Genomic DNA, 18,073 nt, shown 5'->3' with positions numbered 1-18,073 from the left:
ACCCCAAAACTTGCAACTTCACTCAAATCTTTTAAGAAAGTAATGTGTCAACTGTATTAAAGACAAAATTAAACAAGTAATTTTACTGGATAAAATCAGAATTACTAGGCAAAGTTGATTTTATTAAATTTTACATGCTAAGATTTAAGGGCTTCAGTAAATCTCAGATATCTGTGTAAATTAATTTTTTAAAAACTATGTTAAGCTATTTATCTTTTTTAGTAATGCAAGGAAAGAATTTTTAAATTTTTTTGAGAAGGAGTTTCACTCTTGTCGCCCAGGCTGGAGTGCAATGGTGCGATCTCGGTTCACTGCAAACTCCACCTCCCAGGTTCAAGCGATTCTCCTGCCTCAGCCTCCCAAGTAGTTGGTATTACAGGCGTCTGCCACCAGGCCCGGCTAATTTTTGTATTTTTAGTAGAAACAGAGTTTCACTATGTTGGCCAAGCTGGTCTCGAACTCTTTTTTTTTGTTTTTTTTTTGAGACAGAGTCTCGCTCTGTCGCCCAGGCTGGAATGCAGTGGTGCAATCTCGGCTCACTGCAAGCTCTGCCTCGCCGGTTCACACCATTCTCCTGCCTCAGCCTCCCGAGTAGCTGGGACTACAGGCGCCCGCCACCACGCCTGGCTAATTTTTTGTATTTTTAGTAGAGACGGAGTTTTTTACCGTGTTAGCCAGGATGGTCTCAATCTCCTGACCTCGTGATCCGCCCACCTTGGCCTCCCAAAGTGCTGGGATTACAGGTGTGAGCCACCGTGACCGGCCTGGTCTCGAACTCTTGACCTCAGGTGATCCACCTGCCTCAGCCTCCCAAAGTGCTGGGATTACAGGCATGAGTCCGTGCCCAGCCAGGATGATTTTTTAACTTTCTAGGATTTGGACTTCTTCCAGTGTTGCAGTGCTTGGTTGATGAGCACTTACTGATATGTATCTACTCTCCTACTTTACCAATGCCGCATTTGTAGACTACAGGGAAAAAGGTAAAAAAGAAATAAATGCATGGCTTGAAAACCTCTACCTACTTTGTAATTGTGGCTCTTTACTCACTTGCTATTTGTCCCAAGTTGGTCACTTAGTCTTCTCAGATGCCGTAAAATGGGCATCTACTATCTACCTTGTGGCCTGTTCTAAGGATTAAATGTATGACATATGGCATTTACTCAACGTGGTGGTAATATAATAAAATAAAACACTAGTGACAACCAAGTTCATGGCTCAGATTTCATAGGCTCTGAAAAACTGCTCCTGAAATTTTTAGAGTTGCTGAAGTGTTTAGGTCAATCTCTTATTGGCTTAGGGTAACATTCAGCTGCTGAAGGGACTAAGACCTAAGGCTGGCTTGGATTATTTTTTTTTTTTTTTTTTTTTTTTGGAGACAGAGTCTCACTCTGTTGCCCAGGCTGGACTGCAATGGCATGATCTTGGCTAACTGCAACCTCCGCCTTCCAGGTTCAAGCCTTTCTCCTGCCTCAGCCTCCTGAGTAGCTGGGATTGGAGGCACCTGCCACCATGCCCGGCTAATTTTTGTATATTTTGTAGAGATGGGGTTTTGCCATGTTGGCCAGGCTGGTCTTTAACTCCTGACCTCAGGTGATCCACCTGCCTTGGCCTCCCACAGTGCTGGGATTACAGGCATGAGCCATCATCCCCCTCCTGGCTTGGATTTTTAAGTTTTCAACCGGATACCTGAAAGAAAACGGAAGGACTTGACAGCCTATTAGTCATATTGACTAAGTCTCTCAACTTCTATACGCCCAAAGTGCCAGTGATCATTCGCAGGCACTTTGGGTGTGTAGGAGTTATAAGGGGCTGAATTAAATAATTTCTGGAGGGGTTGAATTAAATAATTTCTTAGTTGAGCAAGATAACTTTTTTTTTTGAGATGGAGTCTTGCTCTGTCATCCAGGCTGGAGTGCAATGGTGTAATCTCCGCTCACTGCAACCTCCACCTCTCAGGTTCAAGCGATTCTCCCACCTCAGCCTCCCGAGTAGCTTGGATTACAGGCACCTGCCACTATGCCCAGCTAATTTTTGTGTTTTTAGTAGAGACTGGGTTTCACCATGTTGGCCAGGATGGTCTTGAACTCCTGACCTCACGTGATCTGCCTGCCTCTGTCTCCCAAAGTGCTGGGATTACAGGCGTGAGCCACCGTGCCCGGCCTAATGAAGTCTTTCTAAAATGAATTCTGATACTGAGTTACACATTTCCCCCACAGGAATTTTGAAAGGTATAGATTTTCATGTGATCTTTTTGGTATCCTAAGTTTCTTTTAATTTTTTTTTTTTTTTGACAGGGACTTATTCTGTTGCCCAGGCTGGAGTGCAGTGGTGTGATCACAGCTCACTGCAGATTTCACCTCCTGGGCTCAAGCCATCCTCCCACCTCAGCCTCCCAAGTAGCTGGGACCACAGATGTGTGCCACCATGACCAGCTAATTTTTAAATGTTTGGTAGAGACAGGGTCTCTCAATGTTGCCCAGGCTGGTCTCAAACTCCTGGGCTCAAGCCATCCTCCTACCTCAGCTTCCCAAGGTGCTGGGATTACAGGCGTGAACCACTGTGCCCAGTCACACAGATTTTTTTAAAACTCACCAAAGTAAATCTTATAATAAATCCTTTGGGACTATTTAAATAATAATAATAACTATTATTTACATTGGAGGTTTTTTTTTTGAGACTGAGTCTCACTCTGTTGCCCAGGCTGGAGTACAGTGGTGTGATCTCAGCTCACTGCAACCCCCGCCTCCCAGGTTCAAGTGATTCTCGTGCCTCAGCCTCCCGAGTAGCTGGGATTACAGGTGCCTGTCATTACGAATGGCTAATTTTTGTATTCTTAGTAGAGATAGGGTTTCACCATGTTGGCCAGGCTGGTCCTAAACTCCTGACCTCAAGTGATCAGCCTGCCTCGGCCTCCCAAAGTGCTAGGGATTACAGGCGTGAGCCACCATGCCTGGCCTACATTGGAGTCTAAAAAAAAATTTTTTTATTTTTAGAGATGGGGATCTCATTTTGTTGTCCAGGCTGATCTTGAACTCCTGGGCTCAAGTTATTCTCCTGCCTCAGCCTCTCAAAGTGCTGGGATTACAGGTGGAGCCACCATGTCCTGCCCTATTGGAATATTCTTTTTTTTTTTTTTTTTTTTTTTTTTACAGAGTCTTGCTCTGTCACCCAGGCTGGAGTGCAGTGGCGCAATCTCGGCTCACTGCAAGCTCCGCCTCCCGGGTTCACGCCATTCTCCTGCCTCAGCCTCCCGAGTAGCTGGGACTACAGGCGCCTACCACCATGCCCGGCTAATTTTTTTATATTTTTAGTAGAGACGGGATTTCACTGTGTTAGCCAGGATGGTCTTGATCTCCGGACCTCGTGATCTGCCTGCCTCGGCCTCCCAAAGTGCTGGGATTACAGGCATGAGCCACCGCACCCGGCCTGGAATATTCTTTTAGTAAGACTGACTGCGCTAAGTGGGCCACTGGATAAGGCTTAGAAATTTGTCTTTTTTTTTTTTTTTTTAAATTCAGAGCTTTTCATTTTTAGGTGTGCCATTCTGTAAGTAACGAAATACATGAAGAATATTCAATATCTATTCCTTACAATGTTTCTACTTCTATGGGTGCTTCCTAAAGGACCTCTTTCAATGGGACCTTTGAGAGGGCATTCTGTGTGAGCCACAGTCCATTCTTTATTCCCACTACTCTTGTCCCACTGTGTGGATGCTGGTGGGTTCTTTTAAAAATTCACCAGCAATGCACAGCCATTTTACTCTTAGCTGTATGTTCTGGTGCCCCGTCAGGGTGTCTGGCTCCCAGCTGTATGTTCTGGTGCCATCAAAAGGTGTCTGGGTCCCAGCCCACCAGTCTATTGAAAGTGCAAACAGCTGGGGCAGTCTGCTAAGCTCTGGGTCCAGGTCAAAAGGCCTTAGAAGCTGACCCATGTTCTGTCTGTATCCAGTTATCATGAAGTGAACGGGTGACTGCAAACATTCTGGAGGAGCTTTGTGGAGGCAACAGCAGGCCAGCAGAACGTGTTAAAACATGGGGGCTAACTCTGCAGCCTTCCCACTGTCCTTATCTACATAGCTGGCTATTTCAAAAGCAAAGTATAATAATGCCCTCCAAAGAATAATTATCCCAAGAACTTAGGGTGTTAAATGTGTCATAGGAGAAGGATGGTCAGTTTATGGTTTATCTACCTTGGGGATAAGCATTCTGCTACCCAGAATGTTTCTGTGCTGCCTTTCCGCTCCTCTTTTGCCTATCACCAGTTTAACAGGTTGTTTGGGAATAACATGCCTTATTAGGCATTCTAGCAAGATGCAGGAAGGGGGTAAATGTGCAGCTGCTCAATGTGGTCCAAAAGTAAATGCCAAATGACTAAAGGGTTTTATGGCAGGTCACTGGGCCCAATTAACAGGTGATAAGATCTAAGATCTGCACAGGTAAAAGCAAGCTTGTATTTAATGTATAGTTTAGCTTTCTGGAAAGAGACAGATTCCTTCTTATTTCTCCTTTCAAAGACCTTTATCTCTCTCTCTCTCTTTTCTTTTTTTTTTTTTTGAGATGGATTGCCCAGGCTGGAGTGTAGTGGCATCATCTGGGATCATGGCAACCTCTGCCTCCCAGATTTAAGGGATTTTCATGTCTCAGCCTCCCAAGTAGCTGGGATCACAGGCATGTGCCACCATGCCCGGCTAATTTTTGTGTTTTTTAGTAAAGACGGGTTTTGCCATGTTGACCAGGCTGGTCTTGCACTCAGGTGATCCACCCACCTCAGGCTCCCAAAGTGTTGGGATTACAGACGTGAGCCACTATGCCCAGCCTCGAAGACCTTTATTTCTTTAGGAAAACAAAGCAGTTCAACAAGATCTGTTCATAAACAAATGACTATGATAAAACCAAAGAAGAAAAAAAAACTGTAGTATCAATTTGAAATACTTCTCAGAGATCTTCAAAATTTATAAAAAATTAAATTCCAATTAAAAAAATCAGTGAAGTTAAAAATAATTACTCAGGCTGGGCACAGTGGCATACACCTATAATCCCAGCACTTTAGATGGCCGAGGCAGGTGGATCGCCTGAGCTCAGTAGTTTGAGACCAGCCTGGGCAACATGGCGAAACCCCGTCTCTACCAAAAATACAAAAATTAGCCAGGCGTGGTGGCATGCGCCTGTAGTCCTAGCTACTGAGGCAGGAGAATTGCTTGAACCCGGGGAGGCAGAGGTTGCAGTGAGCTGAGATCAAGCCATTGCACTCCAGCCTGGGCGACAAGAGCGAAACTCCCTCTCAAAAAATAAAATAAAGAATGCACTGATTCGAGGCTTGCACAGCACAAACCTTTCTGCCTCAGCCCCCTGGTGCCTGTTATTTTCAAGAAGAAAGCCAAATCTTTTTTTTGTTCTAGCTCAGAACAATACTTCCAAGGACACCTTCTAAAGAGTGGCACTGCTCCTTATGCTGTGTTGCTGAAAGAAGACACTCTAAAAATCTGTGAGCATCTGCTTCTGTCACAGAATCCAAAGGAGACTGCACTTCTTGTGACTCCGCCATTGTAAAAGAACTCTTCTCCCACTATTCCTGTGTGAGAATTTCCTATAAGATTCAAATGAAATGAGCATACATGCACACATCCAGGTTTGACCCAAAGTAAAGCAAAGCAAAGCACTTAAAAGAAATCTCACCTAGGTTTAATTTTTTTAAAAAAGTACATTAAAAAAGAAGATATACCTTTGCAAATACAGTCTTGACATAAATTGGCAGGTCTCCATGGGGACTTCCATAACCCCCTACAATACTAAACCCCAAGCCTTCAGAGCCTTTCTCCAAAGTAATAATCTTAGGTGGAGGTGTTCTGAAAACACAATGCATGCTGTTTAATTCGAGAATAGATATTGAGAGGGAATTTCATTTAATTGGAAGAATACAGATTTGAGAGAGACTTTCATACTGCAAAACTATGAAGTTTGGTTTATCAGATCAAACTCTCAGAAAGCAATCTAGAAAGTTATTTTCTAACTTCTCATGTCATGCTAATTAATCACCAATATTCTTGATGTTTTAGAGGTTTCTCTTTCATAAAACTCACTGATTGCTAATTAAAGATAAAGTCATGATGCTGAAATTGTCAAAGCACTCTTCTATATGCTTAGTTTTTAACTCTTTTTTTTTTCTTTTTTTGAGACGGAGCTGGGACTATGGGTGTGTGCCATACCTGGCTAATTTTTGTATTTTTAGTAGAGATGGGGTTTCACCATGTTGGCCAGGCTGATCTCGAACTCCTGACCTCAAGTGATCTGCCTGCCTCTACCTCCCAAAGTGCTGGGATTACAGGCATGAGCCACTGCACCCGGCCAGTTTTTAACTTTTAAACTTACTGCTGACAGCTGAAGGAAGCTGTCGTCACATCCTTGAAGCATGTGCATGGAGACAGAGGTAGCGTGTCTCCTAGTGTGGTGGGAGACTGCCAGTCTTCACATAAACTCTTGTCCATAACAGATAACATCAGCTCGCAGCTCAGGAAACTGCTGCTCCTTTTCTTTTACCTTTTTTTTTTCTTTTGAGACAGAGTCTTGCTCTGTCACCCAGGCTGGAGTGCAGTGGCACAATCTTGGCTCACTGCAACCTCCACCTCCCGGATTCAAGCAATTCTCCTGCCTTAGCCTCCTAGTAGCTGGGATTACACACGTGTACTACCATGCCCAGCTAAGTTTTGTATTTTTAGTAGAGATGAGGTTTCGCCATGTTGACCAGGCTGGTCTCGAACTCCTGACCTCAGGTGATCCACCTGACGCCTCCCAAAGTGCTGGGATTCCAGGCGTGAGCTGCCGCACTCAGACTGCTGCTCCTTTTCTGCCGGAACGCCCTGGCCACTTCCACCTAAGGCAGGAACTCATTCTCCAAACTCACTTCCAATGTGAGGCTCTCCTGCCTCCCTTGGGAGGATGGGTCCCACAGCCTTTTCTGTGCTTCCCCTACATTGAGTCCAAATTTCCATTTTGGCACTGACTGTATCATATTGTAATTACTTAGCCATCCATTTCCTCTACCAGACTATAACCTCTTTGTCTTAGTCATCTGAGACTTCCCAGTACCATGTGTGGTGCTTGTCAGAAACTCAGGATCATGACTGTGTAGATGAGAACTGAAATCCAGGAGAGAAGAGAGAAACCAAGGTGAAACAAAATGGAGAAAGAAAATCTGTTTCAAATGTAAAATTTAGCTTTTCAAAGCTTCATCCAGTGTGGAAGTCTTCTCTCTTAGAAACAACATGGCTAAAAATTAAATTACCTATGTGGGCTCCCAGTAATTTAATCTTAATCTAAGTTTAGGTGATGCCAATTTCTTATTCCCAAATGCTATTGCTCAAAAGGCAGAAACCCAGACCCTGTCTTATTTATGATAGGTAGTTCATATTCGTGTACTGGCAGCATCCTTTGTTTTGTGGCAACATGCATGTCTGAGAGGCGAAGTCATCTCATATAAACTCAGCCATTCATGTACTTAGAGAAATTTGCAAAATGGGGACACAAGCAATCTTTGAATATGTTGTTCTATTTAACTAGAATATTCTTCCCTCTCTCCCTCCTCAATTTTGCTGGGTTTATTTATTTATTTTTTTGAGACGGAGTCTCGCTCTGTCACCCAGGCTGCAGTGCAGTGGCGCTATCTCGGCTCACTGCAAGCTCTGCCTCCTGGGTTTATGCCATTCTCCTGCCTCAGCCTCCCGAGTAGCTGGGACTACAGGCGCCTGCCACCACTCCTGGCTAATTTTTTTGTATTTTTAGTAGAGACGGGGTTTTTCACCATGTTAGCCAGGGTGGTCTCGATCTCCTGACCTCATGATCTGCCCGCCTCAGCCTCCCAAAGTGCTGGGATTACAGGCGTGAGCCACCGCCTGGCCAATTTTGCTGGGTTTATTAAAGGGTTTTCAGCTGGTTCACATTGTTACCAGTTGTTTGTTGATGTACTTACTGTTTGTTTACAGCAGACATCCATAGTTACTGCTGACGATCTATGCTATATAAATTGTTAACTGATTTCTTTTTCTTGTTGTTGTTGTTTTGTTTTTTGAGACAGAGTTCCACTCTTGTTGCCCAGGCTGGAGTGCAATGGCGTGATCTTGGCTCACCGCAACCTCTGCCTCCCGGGTTCAAGTGATTCTCCTGCCTCAGCCTCCCGAGTAGCTGGGATTACAGGCATGTGCCACCACGTCTGGCTAATTTTGTATTTTTAGTAGAGATGGGGTTTCTCCATGGTCAGGCTGGTCTTGAACTCCTGACCTCAGGCGATCTGCCCACCTCGGCCTCCCGAAGTGCTGGGATTACAGGCGTAAGCCACCACGCCCGGCCTTGTTAACTGTTTTTAACTGTTTTGTTTGTCTTTACATTTTTTTATAAACACAGGGTCTGACCATGTTGCCCAGGCCTTGGCCTCTCAAAGTGCTGGGATTACAGGAGTGAGCCACCACACTTAACTATTTTGAATGCCACCTGTTTATTCCAATTCTTTTTTTTTTTTTTTTTTTTTTTTCTTGAGACAGGGTCTTGTTCTGTCTCCTAGGCTGGAGTACAGTGGCACAACTGCAGCCCGTTGCAGCCTCAAACTCCTGGGTTCAAGTGATCCTCCTGCCTCAGCCTCCTTAGTAGCTGAGATTACAAGCATGCACCACTATGCTGGATCCAGTTCTCTTAAAACTGGCTCCAGTTCTCTTAAGCTTAAGCATCAGCTTCTCCAACTACACTCCTTAACTGAGTTATGCCCCATATCCATGGTTTCACAGGACCCTCTCTCAATGAATTTAGCTCTCCTACAGTTATCTTTTATAACTATGGATTTATGGGTCTGTTTTTCCACTTCTCTGGCAGCTCTCTGGGGACTGGGGCAATATCTTTACTTACATTTCTAAGTTTGAGTCCTCAGGACCTAGCACTTGTATCTAAGTGTCTGGCCTTAGAATGGTGCTCAATAAATATCTGTTGAGATACTGATGAATTGCCCCCTATAGGTGAATGATTATGACTCATGAATAAGGCTCTACTTTTCCCCACTTTGTGGCCTTACAAGCACTCTCAGTAACAGCTCACCAGCTGGATACAAATTCGATTCATGTTTCTTCTTTCAAACACAGCCCCCATTTCCAAAGATACTGGAATGAGAAGCTAGATGCCCAAAGCCATTGCTTTAGAGCTACCTCCTGTGGCCATCAAATCATTAAAGACCCTTATAATTGTGCCTATCTATACTCAGGGACATGTTTTCAGGGGAAGAGGGAGGAGTGTGGCTCTACTCCTCAACTGGCAACATCAGATGGAATTTGCCTCTATTGATCTCACAATATCATAACATTTTCAACCAATTAGTTTAAATTTACTTTCATATAGAAGGCTAGTAAAAAAAAAAAAAAATCCCAGTGTTAGCAGTGGTGGGATTATGAGTGATTTTTAAATTCCTTTAAGCTTGTGGTTCCCAGCCTGCCAGAGGCATGGAATTATAGCAAAGGAATTAAGATTACAAGGGGATCTCTGTATTTCCATAGCCACATCAAAGGATGCTAAAGGTACGCTGTACTTCCTATAAAGGTCCTGATTTTTTTTTTTTTTTAAGGAAAAGGCCACCGTAATTTGAAAAATGTTATATTTCTATGTGTTGTCATATGTTCATGGCATGCATGTATTAACTTTTATAATGAGAAAAAGGTAGAATGAGCTTAATTTAATATTCTTTCCTCAAGAAAAATAAACTCAAAGATGTCATTTAGGTGGGGAACTACCAGGAAAAAATTGGGACGGGCTATGACCATGAGATCCTTCAAATGAACCATCCAGATTTGTCAACAAACATTTATTGAGCACCTACTAGTGACCAGGCACTGCTGGTACCTGAGAGGAATAGCTTTAGGCAGCATTTCTCAAAGTGTAGATCCTTTGCCCATCTGTAGCAGAATCACTCTGGGAAACTTGTTAACATCAGGTTTCTGGAATCCACCACAGACCACCTAGTCAGAATTTTGGGATGTGGCCTGGGAATTCGCATCTTTAAACATGCTCCCTAGATTACTCCTCTTTTTTTTTTTTTTTTTTTGAGATGGAGTTTCCCTCTTGTTGCCCAGGCTGGAGTGCAGTAGTGCAATCTTGGCTCACTGCAACTTCCACCTCCCGGGTTCAAGCAATTCTCCTGCCTCAGCCTCCCAAGTAGCTGGGATTACAGGTGCCCGCTACTACGCCTGGCTAATTTTTTGTATTTTTAATAGAGACAGGGTTTCATCATGTTGGCCAGGCTGGTCTCGAACTCCTGACCTCAGGCGATCCACCCGTCTCGGCCTCCCAAAACGCAGGGATTACAGGCATGAGCCACTGAGCCCGGCCCTTAGATTACTCTTATGCATATTCTAGTTTGAGAAACCCTGCTTTAATGAACAACTTTAACTGCGATGACTGGTTTTAATGAAACATGTCAGCAAGTATAACAACAAGATTTCATCTCAGAACAAGATTTTAGCCTAGAAGTTCAGGAAACGTGGTTCCTTGCACAATAAAGCAGCGTGCACCTGGGCTATACATCCGTGGTTTCTTAGGGAAGCAGGCATAGGCACTGTGTCAAAGTGACCAGATGCAGTGTGTGTGCAGGCCCTGCAACAATGGTCTTTCAAGAACTCATGTGGTGGAATTAAGCCTTGTGAGAAATAAGGATTCCCTAGAATTTAGAAAAAGTCACGGGCGCTTTGGCCACTTCTCCTTTAGAGTGCACTTGAGTGTCTGGAAAAGTTCTTCCGAGCTTTGCCCACATGCATAATAGGCCCTCTGCATCTGAAATACTCACTCTGTGTCTTCTGGATGGTGTTCAGCAGTGGGCGAACCAAGGTGGTAGCCTGTAGACATGTTTTCAAGCTGAGCTGCTATGGCGCTTATATTGGTATCTGCTACAACCTGGGGAAAAAGTGAAAAAAAGGTATTTCATTATAAAGAAGGGGAGAATTAGAGAAACCATGCTGTATCCAAGGGTCAGTTCTCAATCCTAATCTTATTCAATTTATCTAGACCATTTGACACAAGGACTATTCTCTCAAACTTTTTTTTTTTTTTTTTTTTAAAGACAGTGTCTCACTCTGTTGCTCAGGTTGGAGTGCAGTGACATGATTTTGGCTCTCTGTAGCCTTGACCTCCCAGGCTCAAGCAGTCCTCCCACCTCAGCCTCCCACGTAGCTGGGACCACAGGCATGCACCACCAGGCCCTGCTAATTTTTTTTTTGAGACAGTTTCACTCTTGTCACCCAGGCTGGAGTGCAATGGCGCGATCTCAGCTCACTGCAAACTCTGCCTCCCGGGTTCAAATGATTCTCCTGCCTGAGCCTCCTGAGTAACTGGGATTACAGGCACCCACCACCATGCCTGGCTAATTTTTTTTTTTTTTTTTAGTCGGAGTCTCGCTCTGTCACCAGGCTGGAGTGCAGTGGCACGATCTCGGCTCACTACAACCTCTGCTTCCTGGGTTCAAGTGATTCTCCTGCCTCAGCCTCCCGAGTAGCTGGGACTACAGGCGAGTGCCAGTACGCCCAGCTAATTTTTATATTTTCAGTAGAGGCGGGGTTTCACCATGTTGGCCAGGCTGGTCTTGAACTCCTGACCTCAGGTGATCCGCCCACCTTGGCCTCCCAAAGTGCTGGGATTACAGGCGTGAGCCACCAAGCCCAGCCCTGGCTAATTTTTTTGTATTTGTAGAGGGAGTTTTTGCCATGTTGCTCAGGCTGGTCTCCAACATCTGAGCTCAAGTGATCCGCCCGTCTCGATATCCCAAAGTGTTGGGATTATAGATAGGCATGTGCTCCTGTGCCCGGCCTTCAACTATTTTCTTCATTTCTTCGTTTGGCTTCCATGACACCACAATTCACTAGTTTATTTTCCACACTTCTGGCCATTCCTTCTATTATTTAAACCTCTAACTGAGGGCCACAGGGCTTAGTCCTTGAGCTTCTTATCTTTTCCATTAAACATATTATCCCATCCCATTGTCTCCCATTCCATCCCATCCCATATCCCATCCCATCCATCTCATGAATGTAAATGCCATCTAAGTGATGATAATCCCTGAATCTGTACCTCTAGCTCCAATGCTTACCTAACACCAGATCCATATATCCAGTCACCCACTGGATGTCACAACTGGATATATGGATCCAGTTGTCACTGGGTCCATAGACATCTATGGGACGTCTCCAGGAATCTCAAAGCTAACATGTCTAAAATGGAGGCTTTGCTCCCTGCAACCTTTGCTCCTGGAGCCTTCTTCATCTTGGGCAACTGTAGCTTGATTTTTCCAGTTTCAAGGATGGTGTCATCCTTGGCTCATCTCTGTCTCTCACAACCCACATTCCATCCTCATGAAATTCTATTGGTTTTTCTTTTTTTTAAATTTATTTTTATTTTTATTTTTTTGAGATGGAGTTTCACTCTTGTTGCCCAGGCTGGAGTGCAATGGCGTGATCTTGGCTCACCGCAACCTCCGCCTCCCGGGTTCAAGCGAGTCTCCTGCCTCAGCCTCCCGAGTAGCTGGGATTACAGGCACCCGCCACCACGCCTGGCTAATTTTTTTGTATTTTAGTAGAGACGGGGTTTCTCCATGTTGGTCAGACTGGTCTCGAACTTCTGACCTGAGGTGATCTGCCTGCCTCGGCCTCCCAGAGTGCAGGGATTACAGGCGTGAGCCACTGCAGCCAGTAAAATTCTATTCGTTTTTCTATGAAATTATTTCTAGCCTTCTCACTGGTCTTCTCGCTTCAGCCCCTCCATCCATAGCGGCTAGGATGTTTCTGTTACAATGGAGCAGATTATTCCAATCTTTTGCTTAAAACTGTCCAAAGGAAACTCGACTCTCTTGGACCATCACTGAAGTCCTTCCTGTAACCTCTAGGGTCATCTGCAGTGATGTGTCCTGTGACATCTCTGCCTCTCCCCTAACATTCTCCTTGGCATTCTCTCCGCCCCATTGTGCCGGCCTCCTCACTGTTTCTCTCACATGCCAGACGCATCCCCACCTCAGCACTTTAACCGCTGTGCCTTCTGCCTGGCACGTTCTGTATTTGGCATCTGTGTGGTTGGCTTCTTCACTACTCTGAGGCCTTTGAGCCACCTTCCCTGGCCACTCTAACCTTTCCACACCAACATCCCAGCTCCATGTTTCATGTTCCCCTTCCCCGCTTCCTGGTTCCTTCTAAATATTTATTTCTTTCATTTATTTATTTGTTTATTTATTTTTGAGACAGAGTCTCACTCTGTCGCCCAGGCTGGAGTGCAGTGGCACGATCTCGGCTCACTGCAGCCTCTGCCTCCCGGGTTCAAGCAATTCTCGTGCCTTAGTGTCCCAAGTAGCTGGGATTACAGGCGCATGCCACCATGCCTGGCTAATTTTTTTGTATTTTTAGTAGAGACAGGGTTTCACCATGTTGTCCAGGCTGGTCTCAAACTCCTGACCTCAAGTGATCTGCCCGCCTTGGCCTCCCAAAGTGCTGAGTTACAGGCATGAGCCACTGCACCTGGCCTTTTCTTTATTTTTTGAGACAGGGACTTGCTCTGTCACCCAGGCTGGAGTGCAGTGGTATGATCTCAGCTCACTGCAGCCTTGACCTCCTGGGCTCAAGAGATCCCCTCACCTCATCCTCCAAGTAGCTGGGACTACCGGCATGCACCACCATGCCCAGCTAACTTTTTATTTTTTGTAGCGACAGTGTCTCACTGTGTTGCTCAGGCTGGTCTTAAACTCCTGGGCTCAAGTAATCCTCCCACCTTGGCTCCAAAAGTAAGGAGGATTACAGGCGTGAGCCACCTTACCTGGCCTGTTTCCTTCTTACCACCATCACTATCTAATGAACTGCATACATCTTACCTTGTTTATCTTATTTATTGTCTATCACTTCATATTAGAATGTAAGGGCAGGAAGTTTGTCTGCTTTGTTCACTCCTGTATTCCCCATCACATAGAAGAGTGCCTAGCACATAGCAGGTGCTCAGTAAATAACTGGTGAATGAAAGAATGGATGAATATCTCTGACTCCCTGAGATTTGCCTCTTAGATAGTCCTAAACAAAGGTATAGTAGAATAGGCTGTGCACGGTGGCTCGCACCTGTAATCCTAGCACTTTTGGAAGCCGAGGTGGGCGGATCACTTGAGCTCAGGAGTTCAAGACCAGCCTGGGTAACATGGCAAAACTCTGTCTCTACTAAAAGTACAAAAGAAATTAGCCGGTGTGGTGGCACAGGCCTGGAGTCCCAGCTACTTGGGAGGCAGAGGTTGCAATAAGCAGAGATCGTATCACTGCACTCCAGAGTAAAACTGTCTCAAAAATAAAATAAGATAAAAATAAACCCACAAACAAAAACAAAGGTATAGTAGAATAATGGCACTTTGTATTCTGCTAATTATATATATATATATATATTTTTTTTTTTTGCAAATAACATTCTAGAGCATTTAGAAGAAATATAGTATAGCTCTGGGAGTCCACAACAGGACTCAGGATGGAGTTCCAGAGTTCAGTTTCAGCCTCTTATCAATGCCATATGTGAGTTTCAGCTTCCTCATCTATTAAATGGGAATCATAAAAGTCTGTTTTGCCTCCTTATCCTGGAGTTGTCTTCCACCTCAACTAGTTACCAGAGATACTTTCTCAAGAGCTCCTTGGTTACCTCTGCTTCTGGGTTATAATTCTCACTGCACAAATACAGAGGGAACTTTGTCTGCCAGCAATGCAAAGCTCGACTTGATTGCAATTTCAGAAAAGGCCAACAGAGGGCACAGCTGCCTAAAATGCTAAATTAAGCTTCATCTGTTAAGTAGAGCAGAAAAAGAAAGAAAATAGGCCTGCCCCAGAACACATTTTGGGTGAAGCATCCTATTCTGGGGAAAACACTGCTATGTCCAAGTTACAGAATCTTCTGGAAGTACCACTGTATGAAGAATGAGAACACATTTTGGGTGAAGCATCCTATTCTGGGGAAAACACTGCTATGTCCAAGTTATAGAATCTTCTGGAAATACCACTGCATGAAGAATGACGGAATGAATTGGGAAATATTTAGGACGAAAGATTAAAGGAGGAAACGATAGATTTCTCCCTGCCCCGAAAAGTCTCTCCTCTTAGCACCAGCTTTCTGCTCTCTTCCACAGCAAGTGTACTGGAAGGTTAACTTGTCCATGAACTCTTTTATCCTCCCTACTCTTGAAGTCCACCATCTTTATAAACCTACCCCACTCCAGCTTCCATCCCCATCTCCCACCCAAACTTCCATGACCCACACTCTTCTGGCTTTCCTTCTGCAGGGGCCTGTTTCTCCATCTCTTTGCTCTTCTTCCATTCATCTCTCATGGTGCAGTCCTGGGCCCATTATCCACTTGCACACTCAGGCTCAAGTGACAGCATGTACATTCCCACAGCTTTACATTCCAACGTGCTCACAATCCCAGCTTAGGCCAGCGTGGTGGCTCACGCCTGTAATCCCAGCACTTTGGGAGGCAGAGTGGGCTGGATCACCTGAGGTAAAGAGTTCAAGACCAGCCTGGCCAACATGGTGAAATCTGGTCTCTACTAAATATACAAAAATTAGCTGGCGTGGTGGTGGGCATCTGTAATCCCAGCTACTTGGGAGGCTGAGGCAGGAGAATCGCTTGAACCCAGGAGGCAGAGGTTGCAGTGAGCCGAGATCAAGCCATGGCACTTCAGCCTGGGTGACAGAGGGAGACGCTGTCTCAAAAAAAAAAAAAAAAAAAAAAAAAAAAAATTCCCAGCTTAGTCTGTGATATCCAATTGCCAACTTGACATCTGCATTTTAATATCTCAAAGATGTATCAAAATTAACACAATATTCAAACTTTTGATCTAACAATTCATCTCCTTCAATTCACTTTTCTTCTAGTTTTCCTCATTTTAGTAAATGGCACCTCCAGATGCCAAGTTAGAAATATACTGGGTGAAATAGTGAAAATACTGGTGTGCTGGCTGGTGCCTGTCTAACTGGAAAGGATGCTAGGATGCCAGCCATATAGCTGATCGCTCTCTGAATATCTGATCCCTCCACTCCTGCTTGCTGTACGTAATCCATCAAGTCCCCTGGATTCTACCTCCAAAATCCTTCTCAAAACTTTACTTTCCATCTACAGGTGACCATCCTAATTCAGTTCATCATCAAGTGCCTGTTAGCTGGAATCCCCATTCACCTTTGTCTCACCTCATTCCCACACGTTAGCCAGTTACCTTTTCAAATATAAAACGGGTATCCGCACTCCCCTGCTTAAAACCTTGTAGTGTTTTCCCTTTGGACTTGGAATAAAATTCAGACTTTAATTATGCATATAAAGTTCCCTCCATAGCCTACTCCTCTAATCCTGTCTCTCTCTCGACTCCACCCCACATTCCAGTTCCCTCTCCAGGCGGGGAATTCCCCCCATCCCCCAAACCAGCGTGCCTGGCATCAGCTTAAATGTCACTTCCCTTCTACAAGCCTGCTTTGACCATCCGTGTTTAATTTCTCCTGTTTTCCTCTCCATAGCACTCTCCAAGTATTTCTCACAAATTATGGTGATTAGCATCTATGTGCATGTTGACTGTATTTCCCACCCAATCACAGGATCCATGAGGATCAGGACTGCTTCTCCTCAGCACAATGCTAATGTGTCTAGCACATAACAATTGCTTAATAATTGTGGAGTGAATGAGCGAATCTAAAACTGTCATAAGGAATAGGGATTATGGGACTCAATTTTCTGTGGTTGCTTTTTGGGACTCAATTTTCTGAATTTCCACAGAGCAGGGTGAGACTGATGGAGGTTACAAGGAGATAGGTGTTGGGTTCTTAAAGGAGAAAAAAAAAAAGTAACAAGGCAGTTATGGAATGGAATGGCACAGTTTGCTAGGACATGAGCACCTCAGTGGAGCAAGCATTCAGATAGAGGCTTGAAATTAATCAATTCAGGATGTAGTGGAGGGGAGTCCTATGCTTTGTGGGAAGTTACACGGGTACTGTTGTCAGCTGTCCATGAAACAGACTGTCCTTATGGGGCTGAGGAAGAAAGTCACTAAAATAGTGTTTTTTTTTAAGGTATCGTCAAATGCCAAGATGTGACAGCAGCCTGCTCCTTCCTTTACTCGCTCATTTATTCAACATAATACAGCATCACTATGGCTGAATATAAAATGAGCACTTACTTTATGCTTATTTTTATTTATTTGTTTATTTAATTATTTATTTTTGAGACAGAGGCTTGCTCTGTTGCCCAGGCTGCAGTGCAATGGCACAATCTCGGCTCACTGCAACCTCTGCCTCCCGTGGTCAAGCAATTCTCTTGCCTCCGCCTCCCAAGTAGCTGGTATTACAGGTGTGTGTCACCACGCCCAGCTAATTTTTTGTATTTTTAGTAGAGATGGGGTTTCACCACGTTGGCCAGCCTGTTCTCAAACTCGACCTCAGGTGATCAACCTGCCTTGGCCTCCCAAAGTGCTGGCCTCCCAAAATACGGGCGTGAGTCACCGTATTTTTTTTTTTTTTGAGACAGAGTCTCACTCTGTTGCCCAGGCTGGAGTGCAGTGGCACAATCTTACCTCACTGTAACCTCCACCTCCCAGGTTCAAGCAATTCTTGTGCCTCAGCCTCCCGAGTAGCTGGGATTACGGGTGCATGCCACCATGCCTGGCTAATTTTTGTATTTTTAGTACAGATGGGGTTTTACCATGTTGCCCAGGCTGGTCTTGAACTCCTGGCCTCAAGTGATCTGGCCATCTCGGCCTCCCAAAGTGCTGGGATTACAGGCATGAGCCAACGCGCCCGGCTATGCTCATTTTACATTCAGCCGTGGTGGTGCTGCATTATGTATGTCTTTAAGCATCCTTCTGAGTCCCTGCTATTATTTCCATATTACAGATGAGGAACCTGAAGCAGGGAGGTTAAGTCACACAGGTAGTAAGGGGTAAAGCCAGGATTTAAATCCAAATCTAGAATCTTGTACTCCTAACTGTGGTGTGAGGCAAATCACCTTGTGTGAGGCAACAGAGTTTATAGGCCATATTTGGAGCATGGGAAGGGGAGGGGCAGAG

The 18,073-nt window shown here is 44.7% G+C and overlaps 1 protein-coding gene across 17 annotated transcripts in view; it reads right to left on the bottom strand.

Moving 5' to 3' along the window:
* The window catches only part of PATJ (PATJ crumbs cell polarity complex component), a 421,436-nt gene that overhangs the window by 4,713 nt on the left and 398,650 nt on the right, over window positions 1-18,073 (bottom strand). For 11 of the 17 annotated variants that reach the window (XM_011540462.4, XM_011540464.4, XM_011540466.4 and 8 more), the window contains 2 exons: window positions 10,813-10,919; window positions 5,722-5,845 (listed from right to left, as the gene is read on the bottom strand). In XM_011540462.4, the coding sequence (XP_011538764.1) occupies window positions 5,722-5,845; window positions 10,813-10,919 (231 nt within the window). The remainder of the gene's footprint in view (window positions 1-5,721; window positions 5,846-10,812; window positions 10,920-18,073) is intronic. The other 6 variants (XM_011540467.4, XM_047424287.1, XM_024448642.2 and 3 more) reach the window with 1 other exon arrangement.

The sequence above is a fragment of the Homo sapiens genome, chromosome 1 (genome assembly GCF_000001405.40).
Source record: "Homo sapiens chromosome 1, GRCh38.p14 Primary Assembly".
NCBI lineage: Eukaryota > Metazoa > Chordata > Mammalia > Primates > Hominidae > Homo > Homo sapiens.
Note: the sequence above shows the minus strand (reverse complement) of the source record. Positions and strands in the feature narration are given on the sequence as shown.